This window comes from Homo sapiens, chromosome 9, assembly GCF_000001405.40.
Source record: "Homo sapiens chromosome 9, GRCh38.p14 Primary Assembly".
NCBI classification, from domain to species: Eukaryota; Metazoa; Chordata; class Mammalia; order Primates; family Hominidae; genus Homo; species Homo sapiens.
In genome coordinates this window covers 7134205-7149782 of record NC_000009.12, presented here as the reverse complement: position 1 = coordinate 7149782, position 15578 = coordinate 7134205, and the positions used below count along the sequence as shown (strand labels likewise).

At 42.4% G+C, this 15578-nt stretch overlaps 1 protein-coding gene across 18 annotated transcripts in view, besides 2 other annotated features; it reads right to left on the bottom strand.

Annotated features, from left to right (window-relative positions):
- The window catches only part of KDM4C (lysine demethylase 4C), a 454786-nt gene that overhangs the window by 25866 nt on the left and 413342 nt on the right, over positions 1 to 15578 (bottom strand). The window lies entirely within an intron of this gene.
- Positions 1083 to 1582: an enhancer, noted in NCBI's record as "H3K4me1 hESC enhancer chr9:7148201-7148700 (GRCh37/hg19 assembly coordinates)". NCBI's record gives its function as "activates a minimal SCP1, AML or CMV promoter by ChIP-STARR-seq in naive H9 embryonic stem cells {active_cell/tissue: H9 hESC(naive)}" and the evidence as "EXISTENCE:reporter gene assay evidence [ECO:0000049][PMID:30033119]".
- Positions 1583 to 2084: an enhancer, noted in NCBI's record as "H3K4me1 hESC enhancer chr9:7147699-7148200 (GRCh37/hg19 assembly coordinates)". NCBI's record gives its function as "activates a minimal SCP1, AML or CMV promoter by ChIP-STARR-seq in naive and primed H9 embryonic stem cells {active_cell/tissue: H9 hESC(naive and primed)}" and the evidence as "EXISTENCE:reporter gene assay evidence [ECO:0000049][PMID:30033119]".

Genomic DNA, 15578 nt, shown 5'->3' with positions numbered 1-15578 from the left:
TCTCTGACCAATGAGCTGACCAAAAATTACTGGCTGCCACCATCGACCATAATCACCACTGCCACCACAGCCACAAACACTACCTGCATTTGTTTACTATGTGCTGGGCACCACACTAACTGCTTTATGCATTACGTTTCAATAATCCCAACACAAATTCCAGTATTCATTACTACTGGTGGCGGCGGCCTGTCTGAAGCAGCCACTGTGAGGATGCCAGCTGCAGCGAGGGAGGCATGGCCAAGGCTGCACATGGGGGCTGGGAACAGGTGATCCCAGTGGGAGCCCCGTGCCCTACTGAGCTGGCAGGGCGGGAGCCCATGCTCCCAGGTGCAGCTGCAGCTGCCCAGCCGTGGCTCTGGACCCGGGCATCCCTGTGCTCTCAGGGTCCCAGGAAGGCCCCTGCCCCGGCAGGCTCGGAAGTGCCTGCTTCCACTCCCTGGCTTCTCCCCGCTCCTGGTATGCACTCTGCAGTGGAACAAAGTTGCCATCGTGTCTTGATAGCTGAGCCCAGGCACTGTAGCGACCCAGCCGGGCGTGTGCATGCTCAGGATGGCACTAACACACCAGACCCCAGACTGTCTCAGCACCTCCAGAAACTAGTTCTGAGGCTGACATTTTGGGTGCTGAGGAGCACGGGAGTGAGGCCAAGGGGCCTGAGGGCGGCTCGGCATGGGCATGCAAGTGCCCCTTGGTGCAGAAAACCTGGGTGCCATAAGTGGCAGTTGATGACGGCAAAAGGCAGACAGGTTATTAGGAGGGATGGGAGGGATCCCTGGTGAAACCCCACCTTCAAGCCAGGGATGGCCTGAAGCCTGGGGCTGGGCTGCCAATTCCGGGTGAAGTCTGCAACAGGGAGTGAGAACTTCCTTGATGAAGTTTTAGCCAATCAAGTGGTGCTTTTTCCAGGCCCATCCATGGACCAATCAGCAAGCACTTCCTCCATTCTGACCCCATAAAAACCCCAGACTCAGCTGGACTCAGACACTCCTTGGGACTACCTGCCTGTGGATAGGAGCTACCCACTTCAGGTCTCCTCTCCACTAAGAGGTGTTCGGTCATCCAATAAAGCCTTTCTCTGTCTTGCTCACCCTCCAATTGTCCACATAATCTCATTCTTCCTGGACGCAGGACAAGAACTTGGGACCTGCCAAATGGTGGGAGTGAAATGGGTTGTAACACGTTCCTGGCTGCCTCACCAAGCTGTAGGCAGTGATACACTCCCAGACAGTGGCAGTGAAGAGTGCCAACCCTTCTGGGTGCCCAGACCTTGGAATTCCCTGAGCCAGAGCTGCCGTAACACTACAGCCCTCCTGTTCTCCACTGCTACTGGGCAGCTGCCCCACACAACGGGAAAGAGCTGTGGGGCCAGGCCAGCCCATGAGCTGCAAGCTGAAGTGGGGTGGTGGTACTGAAAGAGCTGTAACACAAATGGGCTGAAACATGGCCCCCCGGCTCACCGCACTGTGGGCAAGGAGGAGAGAAAAGCTGCAGCTCTTCTGGGAGCCCAGACCTTCAGGTTCCCCAAGCCAGGGCTGTAACACACTGTAACATCCTCTCTGGGGCTCTGCACTTCCTGGCGTCTCCAAGCTTTTGGGCGCCACCATGTTCCCCTTGTCCGGATGCTGATATCCACAGCAGAAGCTGCTTGTCGTATATCTGGTCCAGCCACAGCCTCACATGGAGCCGGCACCTGGAGCTGCCCACCCCACCACAACAGCTGGCATGCCTTGCTGTGTGCAGTGGCCTGGCCCTGTGCTCACACACAACCTCGCCGCTCCAAGCCTGGCTTGCCCTTGGCAGGCACGGGATCCGGGCCAGTAGCATGAGCCGAGCACAGCCTGCTGGGCTGAGTGGACGGAACGAGCCTAGCGGGCATGAGCAAAACTCAAGCAGAGGCGCCACCAGCCACAGAGGTTTCCAGCTGGCAAAGCAACACCCTAAGGCTCCTGTGACATTACTATCTCCAATTTACAGATAAGGTAACTGGTGTCAACTCCCTTGCCTGGTTGCACAGCTAATTAGCAGAGCAAGGAGCACCCTGGGTCTGCCTGCCACACATGTAGCTCTTCCTACCTGGGTAAGAGAGCCAACATCGGCCCTGATGACTGCCCCAGGGCTCACTGTGTCCTCCTGTAGAACACCCCAGGACTTTAACTTCTCACCCCCAAACACGGGGAAAAAAGCTCCATCTATATAGGAAAGATTTTCTCCCCTTTTTTATTGTTGTTGGCAGGGACTAAAATGTATGAGGGGAATAAAATATTTTACTATGTCAATAAAAATTTATGTTGCAAAATGGAGAAAGACAGGCTTGGGGTGAATTTCTCTGTAGTGGTTTCTAAAAATACATGTCAGTTCCAAAAGCTAAAAAAAGAAAGATGAAAGGAAAGCTAAGGATAGGCACGCAGGGGAGAGAAGGCTGCCCTGTGTTTATATGTCCGGCTTTCCAAGGCTCTGGCTCTGCTCTGCAATGTTTGTTCTACTTCTGGGAGCACAGCTTGACCTACCCAGGACGCTTCACACTGAAGTGATGCATGTACTGCTTCCAAGATCTGGGGTCAGGCCACTCACAGTCAAAGAAAACCCATTACTGTGCATAAGCTACTCAACCACCTTATGTCCTGGTTTTCTCATTAATAAACCTTATGTCCTGGTTTTCTCATTAATCAAATGGCGATATTAATGCAATCTTGCAGGGAGAATGAGAGAAGAGAACAGAAAAGCAAAACCCAATTCCTGGCAGCTAGTGAATATTGAGTGAATCACATCTAGATTTAATTCCCATCAACAGGAATATACCTAGAGGATAGGGAGGAGACAAAACCCTTGGGAGGCCACCTTTGGGATTAAAAATAGTGAAGGAAACACTGAGAAGCCAAGAACCCTGACTACGAGAGAAAGGAGGCTACAACAGAACACAGAACTACAGAGGACAATCGTGTTTGTTATCCTCATTGGAATCTGAAACAGCCTGGTAGGGTAGGCAGGCAAGCGTCAACATCCTCCAGCACTGGTAGAGAAGAGTGACTCGCCTGAGGCCACAGGGCTAATAAGTAGATGGGTGGGGCTGTCACTCACTTACCTGGGAATTTTCAAGCATCTCGTGTTTTAGGGAACAAAGGAATGAGTAGTGAGTTAAACAGATATAGTTTTTTACTTCATAGAAACTGCTTCATTGGAAAATGCAGGCATTGACTTAAAAAAAATTAAGTATAAGAACTCCTACATAAGGAATAACAGTGTAAAGCAGAAGCATTTGACAGATTATTGGCAACTATATGGTTCCTATATTCCAGAGAGCTTCAAGATGCCACAAGAGCTAGAGATCAAAAATGAAATTTTGACAAAGCAATCTGTAAAGATCTAGATAAGGAAAATTAGGGGAAAAGAGTAAGGATATAAGTAGTTCTCAGAAGGGTTAAGATCTTTTTTAAAAAAACTTTTTCTGATTATAAAAATAAAACACGTTCATATGGAAACTATAAGAAGGTGATAAAGTTGAAAATCATAATCACCTATGATTACACTCTCCAAAGATAATCAGTAACATTTTGATGTATTTCCTTTGAGGATTTTTCCCTTGCATATTTATATTTTTATACATAATTGGGATCTTACTGTACATACAATTTTGTGCCTGATTTTTCCATTTATTATATTGCATCATTAAATATCCTTTGAAAACATGATTTTAATGGCTGCATAAATAATTCATTTAACCTTCCTCCTGGCTGCACTGGTAAGTGTTCAATGTCCAGATCAAAGGAACAAAGAGCCGTCATGCTTGCACTAGCCAGATTGTGTTTGGGGCACTGTGTTTCCACACCTGAGAGCAACATCTTCAGTGGGACACTGTCCAAGAAAATTTCATCCTCAGAGTGTCCTGGAGGAAGAGCATTCAGGAACCACTTTCTGTTTATTAAATCCTTCATTCCTGCCCCATGACTGAGAAATGAGGACTGTATTGTTTGGATTTGAGAAGACTTAGCAGGGACTTGAGACCTCTCCACAAACATGTTAAGAAACTTAAGCGAAAGAGAGTGTGTTTATTCAGTTTTGCTCTAGAGATCGAGAACTAGGAAGGCTCCTGGGTGTTCCGAAGAGGCAGCAGTTAGACTTCACAGAAAGAAGCCCTTGCTTCCTAACAATTGCAGCAAAAATTGAGAGTGAGCTCCTGTCATTTGCAGCGTTCCAGAATGGATCTGAAAACTCCTCACCAGAGGTATGGCAGAGGAGATGTCTGGCTGTGGGTGGGAGTTCTGGAGGAGTTGGGGGAAAAATAGAGCACAGCAGAGTGGGGGTAAGAATGAACAGTTAAGGGATGAGGTGAGAGGGGAGTGCGCCCCCCATCAGCCTGTCTCACCTACGCAGCACCCCTGAACTGAGACACAGCGACTCAGAACTTCCAGCCATTCAATGGCCTGTCCAACTCTCATTAGAAGTATGGGCAAGGCTGAGACTACGGTTTCTAAATTTTCAAGTCCCATTCTAGTGATCCTCCTCCTTCACCAAAGCATAGAGAATATGCAAAAGGATGGCAGGAAAAAAATCAAACGCAGACACGTAGTTAGCTTTCTCCCCCGCCACCCTCTGGCCACGCACCTTTAACTCTATAATGTCAGCTTCCTCTTTGGTCAAAGGAGAGGAGCATCCTTTGAGGATCAACACCCGAGGAGGAGGCCTGTTAATGCAGCACCACCTTATTCTCTGGTGGGCCCAGAGGGAGGCTGGTTTAACTCAATCAGCCAGGTGATGCGCAAAGGGGTGAAGCAAAATGCATAGAAAGGATGAAGGCAACAGGTGTGTGGGTCTCAGCCACTGTGGTAGAAAAAGCTTTCACAAAGCTTCTGTGGTAAAGCTACAACTGCAAAGACATCACGGTGCCTAAAAATACGTCAAAGATTGCTCACTCCTGGGCTGAGACCTAAGAATAGCTTAGCTCCCTTTGACTCCATGTAATATTCTGATACAAGTGGCATGCCACGTCTTACAGTGTGGAGGCTGTGTCCACATGAACAGCATTTTCACTCTCCACTTCACCCAAGCTGACTGAGCATGTACTCCTGTCACATTCACCACACAGGTGGTGCTCCACGCCAGGAATCCGGGAAAGGGGAAAGAAATGTATATGCGGATGAGTGGAATGGTGGGGCCAGGGGCCACATTCCAATGTTTATAGTCAGAGATGACTAGAGATCACCTATGGCTGTTCTCCCCTACGAGAATGGGAAGAGACCTGAGAGATCCCCTAGGCCAATGTCCCCAGTTGAAAGGGAAGGGCTGAATAATGAAATGACTTGCACAGTCACAAGTCCCCAAGAGCTGCCTATAATTTAACCTTGCATTTCACAGCCCAGCAGTGCAAGGTTTTGAGCAAATGGGTAACACTTGGGGAGAATTTTAACTAGGGGATTAAAAAGCAGAGCCAGGTGACGACCAACCAAAGAACCTGTAAGAATATGATTTGTCAGAAAATATCAGCTCATGGTATTCAGAAACTGAGGAGTGGCCGGGCATGGTAGCTCATGCCTGTAATCTCTCTCACCTTGGCCTCCCAAAGTTTGAGTTTGGGAGGCCGAGGTGAGCGTATCGCTTGAGCCCAATAGTTTGAGACCAGTCTGGACAACACAGCAAGACCTAGTCACACAAAAAAAACAAAAACAAAAACAAAAAAAAAACAAAAAGAGGAGTAATGAGTATACATGCAAAAATGAAGTAATTCAGGATATCCTCAAAGCTGGAAATGTGTTCCTGAGCACAGTAAAAAAATGTGAGCAATGCCATTCTAGAAATACTTTTCACATAAGCTACAGCTTCTATCTCTGTGAGTTTAACATGTCCTTCCTTTTAGATTAAATGTAAATGCATAAAGTTAACCAATCATGCTCATTATACACTGACTTATGCAGACAGGGATATGTGTAATTACTACCAGCATTTCAACAGAGACTACTCTGTCAAAAATGACAGACAGATAGCTAAGATGGTTAAGGAGTGGATAATGAATCAATCTATTTAGTCAACATTATTATGCTTAAAGGGAAGTCAGAAACTCCCCCAAATGATTCTTGTGTTGTTGAAAACCTGTCAAATCAAAATATTCTTAATGTGAAATTAAGAAGAATTTTGCTGTTTGTAGATTCCCAGGCAAGGAGAATGAAAATAATATGTAGATAACACACCATTGTTAGATTTATCCAAACAAGAGCTTTTAATCCACCAAGGCTTAAAAACACATAAAAGGAGGGTGGTAAATTTCGCTTTACTGATGCACGCAACTGTGGAATGCCCGGTTCAGAATCACATCAAGGATTATGTCATGCCCTTTTTCTGACAGTTAATGAACCTCTGAAGTAAGAGCTTTTCTATTCTTTTCACACCAGATATTAGTCTTCATTTGAAGGCTGATTCTTGCTAACATCTGATTTGCTTAATGAACACTGAATAGTTGGTCAATTAATATTTCAATTGTGATATCTTTTTTCAATCTACTAAAAAAGTAACAAGGTTAGTTAGCATCCTCAGTTACTTTCCTTGAAACAGACACCCACTGATATAGATCTGCGTATAGAGGCAACTGGAAACCAAAACATGCCAAAGTGTTGGGGCTCCCAGGGTAAGTGGGCACCTGAAAGTGGGGTCAGTATAAGCGATGCTGGTACTGGAACAGCTGAGACTAGCTTTTATAGAGTAAGCTGGGAGGGGAGGGAGTGGGACTTCAGTGATAAAACAAGTAGGTAAGGAGGTAGAGGAAGATAAAGGATAAAAGGAGATGGGCCTGCTTGCAAACTTTAAACATCATCCAATTAACAGTAACTATGACATTAACAATATACAGGATGTAATTCCTAGCTTTTAGCATGTTAATATGATGCCAGGTGCATTCAAATGAATACATTGTGTGTACACACACACACACACACACAGCCTGTATGAGCATTTTTAAAATCCTGGGAGGATATATGAGAAGCAGGTGAGACGGTGATTTCCAGATGTGGGAGGTGCAGGAATGCACTTTTCATCTTAAATCCTTCTGTATTTCTTGGGACTTTAGCCAGCCATGGGTATGTTATGCAAAACATTGTACATCTACAATTATTAAATATTAGTTGCTAATTATTATTATTACCACTAACCACACACATTTTATCTACCAAAGTTAGTCATCTATTCTTTCCCTTTAAAAAAGGTAAATGAATCTCAAAATGAGAGATGTTCAAGACTCGGTAAGTCATGTAGTCCATCTCCTTCAGAAAATGACAGCTCTTCTCAGGGCAACATAGCAGATGCATCAGCCTCTACACTGGTTCATGATGAGGGAGCCCAGGGGAGGGGAGGCAAAGCCACTGAATAGAAAGGGAAACTAGGCTGGTTGTGGTGGCTCACACCTGTAATCCCAGCATTTTGGGAGGCCAAAGTGGAAGGATTGCTTTAGGAGTTCCAGAACAGCTTGGATAGCGAAAGACCCCATCTCTATGAAAATTTTAAAAAGGAAACAGGGGGATTAAAAGTTCCGGGGTAGAGCACACAAGGCTGCATGCACAGAATAAAGGGTTGGAAACAAAACAACACAAATGAGTACTGAAGAGAGCTAAGGATTAAGAGACGTTAGAATCAGCTATATAGTGAGGCCAAGTCTACATATGTGTAATCATATGCTCAATTTATTTATTTATTTTTAAAACAGCCAAATTCAAGAGGGATAAATGCTCAATTTAAATGTTCGTGTGTCAAGATGGAAGCCCCATAAAGGGTAAATATATTTTCATACTGAAGAATTTCTTGGGCAAAATGACTATTTTATCAAATGGGTGAAAGTTAGTTAATGGGGTTTATGTGTGTGTGATGACACATCCATTTAGAGATGAAGTGCCTGGTCACGTCACTTCTAAAACATGAGATGTCTCTTCTCACATTGAGGCATGGGACTTTTCACTCAGCATCCCTTACATTCTATGTAAAAGAAAAAGAAAAAAAAAAAACCTAATAACAACAAAAACTATGCTTTGCAAACCAGGGGGCTTGGAATGGCCCTAAATTATGGTAACTGCTCTAGGTGTATAAAACAGAGCAGAAGGGAAGAAACTCCAACACAACCAAGTCTGAACTCATCATCCTGGGCCTGGAAGTCTGGGCTTCTTCCGAAGTTCCCTATCTCAATGACAGGTGTCACCTTCCACTTGGCTGAGCAAGCCAGAATCCTGGGAGTTATATTTGACACATCTTTCTTCCTTGGCCCCCATTATCAATCCATCACCTGGTACTCTTGATTTTACCTTCTAAATATATTTCAGATCCTAAATTAGTCCAAATTACCATCATTTCTCCTCTGATTTACTGCAACATTCTCCTAACTGGCCTCCCAGTATTCAGGCAAGCTTGTCCAACCCACCTTATGTTGTTGTTGTTGTTGTTCTGTTTTGTTTTGTTTTTAGGCTTTTATAGTCTCTTATAGTCTGTATTTTAGCAGCCTGAAGCCATCCTTTTTAGTTTCTCTCTAGTGATAATGGGAAAAGAGGGATGAGAAAGGGGTTCTACTGGCCTAACCAGAAATAGAAACTAAGAACCCATGACTGTATTCTCTTCTTTGGACACCCCTGTGGACTTTCCAATTCTTTTTCACTAGAGCCAAAAAAAACCTACTTCATAACAAATCTCTTTGACTTCTGCTCAAGATAGTCCAAGGGGGCTTCCTCCTGCTTTTAGAATAAAACCCCAACCCTATAAGATGGCCTCAAGGCCCCACCCAGTCTGGCCCTTTCCTTCTTCTCCAGGCTCATGATTTACCTCCTCCAGCAGCTGCACTTGCCTTCCCTCTGCCCTGTGTTTAGTGAACTCACCTTACAGATCTTCATTCAGGTCGCACTGATCACCCATCTAGATAAGATGTTTATTTCTAGTTACATGCTCTTACTGGATCATATTCCTGTCATCCCAGGACTTCTCTCAATTCGAAGCACATCTTTTATACATGCTGCGTATGTCACTCTCTCCCACTAGATTGTAAACTCCATGAGATCAAAAACCATTCGAATTTTACTGCTATCATTTTCCCAGAACCCAGCATGATGGGTGGCATGTAGTAGGTGCTCACTGTAAGAAAACTTGGGGGCATAAGGCTACCATCATGGAAGGATAAGGTATTTCTTGACTAGAGAATCCATGTATGACCATATGCAGGTACCCAGATGCGGCTTATCAAGGCCAGCCCTGCAGGAATTCCCTATCTACCAAAAGAAGGGCCTTCATGGGAAGCATTAGCCTTCCCCATCTTTATGAGTCCCCAACTCTAAGAAGAAAGAGGACTTGAGCACCACACATACTATTTCCTCATCCTCATTAGATTTCTCCTGGAGGGAACCTACTCTTAGACACTGGTTACATTTTTGCCCTTTTAATTTCATGCAAAACAAAAAACAAAAACAAAAAAACCCAACAACAAAAAAGCAAAACAAACATAAAGCCCTGTACAAACACAACTAGTTGTTACAGTACATAGTCAGTCAGGTATGAGCAGGGCGGAAGAGGCCTCCTCAGCCCCTGCCACATACACCAGGAGTGTAGGGCGACCATCAGGTGATGGTCAGGTTGTTAACTGTCTCGCTAAACTAATAATTGGTCACAGCTGGCACCAGGGAAAGGCTGTCTCCTAATACATGGGAAACACCTGAAACTGGTGAGCAGCAGCTTCTGGATAAGATCTCAGGAGTGACGAGAAGGAATGCAATGCCCCAGAAGTATGTCAGTGTATAAGATCCCAAGTCAAGAGGTGAAGCTGCCCATGTGGTCTCTCAAGTCACCTGCTTGGCCCTCTTCCAAGTGTCCTTTCCTTCCTTTCATTACTGCTCTAAAGCTTTTTAATTAACTTTAACTCTTGCTCTAAAACTTGCCTCAGTCTCTCCTTCTGCCTTATGCCCCTGAGTCAAATTATTGTCTTCTGAGGCAGCAAGAATTGAGGTTGCTGCAGACTCATACAGACAACTACCACTGCTTACATAATGATATGAGATAAAGTTCCAGCATAAATAATATAGAAAAAAGGTTTTACTAGTATTGAAATACATTTTAAAACTGTAAGGAAAATATTAAATTCATATGCGATACATAAATTATTTCAAAATTCATGTAGGGAACAAAATAGGAAAAGTTACAGGGTCTAGTGTGGCCACTTGCAGCCTGGTCTAAGGGTTATAGTGTGATGAGACAGTCTTTACAATATATATACATATAATTTTAGAGTCTCACTTAATATCAATGGCACTCACATCCACATTCTTTCCATAGTTCTCTTATAGTCTGTATTTCAACATGACTTCAGGTGTTGGCTGCTTAGAACATAAGGACTAAAGCCTGGCTTGTTTTGTGCCAGTCACTTTCTTTTATGGTGTAAATCAAAGAAGCTGCTTTAGATGATTCAATATTATCTGTTACTCAGGGGAAAAGAATGATAATATAACACATAAGGCAATCATTGGGTCAGATTATTTATTTTTTTGTTTTCTTTTAAGACAGGGTCTGGTCCTGTCACCCAGACTGGAGAGCAGCGGCAGAATCTCAGCTCATTGCAACCTCGGCCTCCCAGGCTCAAGTGATCCTCCCACCTCAGCCTCCTGAGTACCTGGGACTAAAGATGCATACCACCATGCCTGGCTAATTTTTTGAAATTTTTTTGTAGAGATGGGTTTTTGCCATGTTGCCCAGGCTGGTATCAAACTCTTGAGCTCAAGCCATCTGCCTGCCTCGAACTCCCAAGGTGCTGGGATTCCAGGTGTCAGCCACTGCGCCTGGCCTAGATTATTAATTAAAGGCTAGAAAGAGTAAATATCTAGCATGTTTTAAAAACATAACCTACAAATATAACTATGCTACTGGAAGTATGCATAATTTAACTACCCCTTCCCTTTTTGCTGATTTGTTAGTCATAAATCTACAAAAGGCATCTTTTATTTTATTTTTTTTAGAGACAGGGTTTGGCTCTGTCACCCAGGCAGGAATGCAATGGTGTGATCATAGCCCACTGTAACCTCAAACTTCCTGGGCTTAAGGGTTCCTCCTGCCTCAGTCTCCCAAGGAGCTAGGACTACAGGTACACGTCACCATGCCTGGCTAAATTTTTTTAAATTTTTTTGTAAAGAAGAGGTCTTTCTATGTTGCCCAGGCTGGTCTCAAACTCCTGGACTCAAATAATCCTCCTGCTTTGGTGCCCCAAAGCGCTGGGATTTCAGGTGTGAGCCACCGTGCCTGGCCCAAAAGAGATCTTTTTCAGGCACAGATCACACCAGCTTTAATTACTCGTGGAAAAATCTACTTTGATCTGAAAACTATGCATATAACATTATTCAACATATTGTACTATTTTAACCTTTAGAAGAAATTAAACATTATACAAATATAAAATTCTATAATGGTATTGGATAAAACATCTAAAGCACAGAAGACTTTCAAATATATCCTCCATTTTATAAAAGGCAAAAAATTAGATGATAGAGGGAAATTGATTTGCAGAAACACACACAACCAACAAGCATTATAGCAGGCAATAGCTTCCAAGCATTTCACTCACTTCTTAGCATAGAACACTCTCTGTAGGGAAGATTAGAAACTGAAGGACAAAAATACACTCACTCCATTCTCTCTGCCTTTTCTTCTATCATTCCTCTTCTCCATTTGCCCACATACTCTGACCTCAAAATTATAATTTATTTAATAATGCAAAAGGCAAGATTTATTACTGGTTCTTTCTCACCCATGAAAATTAACTAACTTCTTTTAAATAAGGTACAAAAAGGAAATAATAAAATGAAGGTAATGTTGCTCATCAATAAGTAGATAGTACTGACTTCTTCTGGATATATCTATCGAATAAGAATCTAAGTTCACTCTATTGCCAAAATAATTTAAATCCCATGGTCGAAAAGGAACATAAACTCTTCATTGATTTATGGGCCTCATATCTTCTGGGATGTGTCACCAATTTATGTGCTATATCCTGGGGTGTTAGCACCTGGGGTTGGATAGAGGTGAAAGATAATGGCTTGTAAACAGGCAGCTCCCTGTTGACAACTCGCCTCAGGAAGCTCTTGCCATTCGCCATATATTTCAGAAATTGTATGCAGAAAGCTGTGCTTACAAATGCGCTACAGGAAAGGTCAGCTCTGGAAAATTTCAGACATTTCTGAAACATGCATATAGCAACCTGATTATACTACACTTAGTCATGGTATCTAGATTTGAGATAAAAATAAAATTACAGCAAGAAACGATTTAAAAGTGTAAAATTTTGCATCATAGGCAGCTAACGTACCATTTTCATTTAAAGAGTAATCGAAGGGTCAATAATGAATGGTGACAATCTGATATTACGATGTGAAGTGATAGTGACATCTGGCCACGTTAGTTATTAGAAGAAACAAAGAATTTTCATAATGTTTATATTTTGTATTAAATGGAAGTTGATTCAGCCCTACCCTAACATTTAGATATGATGTCATGGATATTCATAATTTGGTGCTGAACATTCATGGGTAAGCCTGCCAAGGCCACTGGAGACATTTCCCAACAGTTCTGCTCTCAGGCTGGCACAGGGGACCAGCAGGTGCGCCAATGCCCTGACTCCCTTAACCCTCTCTCACGACAGACTTCTCACTCTCATGGCAGTGAAATAGCAGGTAATGATCGACTTCACCTGAACCAGTGGTTTCAAAGTTTTTCAGGGCCAGAGATCTCCTCGTTTAAAGAAAGTTCACATATCTATAGAAAGAGAGGTTTCTGATTTATTTAAAAAATAAATAAATCTCACAAGAAAGCTAAAACATTGAAGGCTTGAGTTTTCCCTGGAGCTGCTTGCTAGAGCTCTGAGGAAAAAATATTCTTTACCTAGAAAGGACATGAAACTTCATGAACTCAAATTTTAAAGCACATGATCCATTAAGAAAAAGTTGACAAATTGGGCTTCATCAAAATGTATAACTTTTGCTCTTTATACACTATTAAGAAAGTGACAAAACAAGACACGAACCAGGAGAAAGTGTTTGTAAATCAAAGATCTGATAAAGGATATGTACAGACTATTTAAAAAATTCCCACAACTCAATATAAGAAAACTCAATAAAATGTAAAATATATTACTGGTTTGAATAGGCTTTTCATCGTAGAAGACAGATGAATGGCTAATAAGCACTTGAAAAGATGCTCAAATCATTAGTCAATAGGGAAACATAAATTACAATACCGTGAAATAACACTATACATCCACTACAATGGTTATTGTCCAAAAGACTGACAACACAGGTGTTGGTGAGGATGTGAAGAAACTGTAACCTCAAATGTTGCTGGTGGGAAGATAAAATGGCACAGCCACTTTGGAAAACAGTTTGGCAGTTTCCTATAAAGTTGAACACACACTTACCATATAACTTAGTAATCTCACTCCTAAGTCTTTACCCAAGAGAAATGAAAACACATGTCCATACAAAGCCTTGAAAGCAAATTTCACGGCAGAATTATTTATAATAGCCCCAAACAGGAAATAATCCAAATGTCCATCAACTGGTGAATGGATAAACAAAATGTGTTATATTCATACTATAAAATGGGACATTATGCAGACAGGGAGTAAACATTGCAAAGCGTCTGAAAAAGGACTTGTATCTAGAATACACAAAAAACTCTTCTAAGTCAGTAACCCAGTTGACATCTCTCTTCCTCAACGTGACTTCTTTAAACACTCTGGCCCATCACAATTGCTTCATTCCCCGAATTTACTGTCAATAACCTCCACTGGGTGTTTTTCTTGTAAAATATTTCAGATGAGCTCCTGGTGGTGGTGAGGGAGTATAACTGCATCAGTGTGGAGCAGCATAATACATCAGTGGGCTGGGATGGGATGTGACTTCCCAAAGCTGAGATGGGCTCACTGATGAGAGATGTCTGCCACTGTCTTGGCCACTTGGCCCAAAACTCCAGAGCACCTCAAAGTGTAGACACCGACGAAGATCCAAAATTGCTTCCCAAGATCCCATAGCTGAAAAAGTTTCTGGGAATGGCTTTTTTCTTAGTCTTTCCAACTTCCTTGGGTATTGTATTTTGCCTCCAGAACATCCATGTCACTCCTCCTACATCTGTGTTTACACATCTCTGAATCCCCCATGATGCCTAACACAGTGTTCAACACATAGCTCAGAACGGACAACATCACTGGATACTCCCAAACATGGAGTGGATTTGGCTCATGGTGCCCGCTGCCCATGGGTTTAAGCAGGCTCACCCATGAATATTCAGCACTGAGAAAAGATGATGAAGTCCTGGAAATTAATAACACTGCTCTCAAGTTCAAGGTAGTTATTTTGATTCTTTAGGCTGAAGATGAAATGCTATACCTGAGTCTCTCCTGGAAAGAAAAAAGTGGGAAGGAAGTGCCAGGAACCTGTCCTTTGGGAATAAGTTCCCAATGCCAATCACCTTGAGATAACTGCCAGCACAGAAAATAAGAGAAATACCCTCAAGTGAGGGAGGTATATATTTGAAGAAAAACGTAACTGTCAGTCTGTCTTTGTGGCAACTACTGAATCTCCTGCATGGGACATCAGGGCAACGACATACTTTCTCCAGAGGATCCCCAGTGATGAGTGGAAACTGTCGCTATGATGCCTACAGAATTGGGGTCAGTGAGACACACACAATTCGTAAAACAAAGGAACAAGATGCAACTGCAACTTGAGTAAAGGCTTCAACATTTCATTCCTATGTCCAAGGCTGTAATGTAAAAAGTCATATGAGTTACACAAAAGGAAATAAAATTCTAGGACCTGGGAAGTACCACCTCCATGGACTTCAGAGACAGTTCACGAAACTTGTAAGACTAGTCAGGACCCCAGTGAAAGGCACAAGGTTTACAGAGTTGATGAATCAAATGAAACCTGACCTTAATTAGGAGCCCCTGCCCAATAACTGCAGGTTTATTCTTCAAAGGCATAACCAGATTCTATGCCTCTAAAATGGCCTTCAGATTCTATGATTATTTCTTCTTAGTAGACTCCTAGCCAATATGGTAATATTGTTTCCCCTTGATTGGGCAAAGTCTATCTACTTATCTATCGATCTTATGTAAATTGTGTTTATAAAGGTGCATCTGTGTTCTGTAAATATTATACTGGTTTACATACTGTTTTTGAAAATGTCTGAAATAGGAGAATTCAAGCTAACTAATGTCTGATTTATTAAAGTTATGGGCATTAAATGCCTAGAAAAATTGTGACATTTGTGAGAAATGTATATATTAAATTTATAATCATAGTTAAAATGTCCAAGGAAATTTGGCTACATAAACATAACGGTTAGGATTTGATTTATGCATCATGTGAACATTAATCAAGGAACAAATGAGTTTGTTCTTTTTTTATGCAAATATTAGATTTATAAATAAAATTTGTCAGATAAATTTAAACATTTAGAAAAGTAAATTTAGACACTCTTTTACATGTATAAAAGGTTTCCCTCGTAACTAAAAATTAACTGGAATTTGGTGAAGCCTTTCATCTCACGGATTCCCAACTCCACAGTCAAGATAGAAAAGC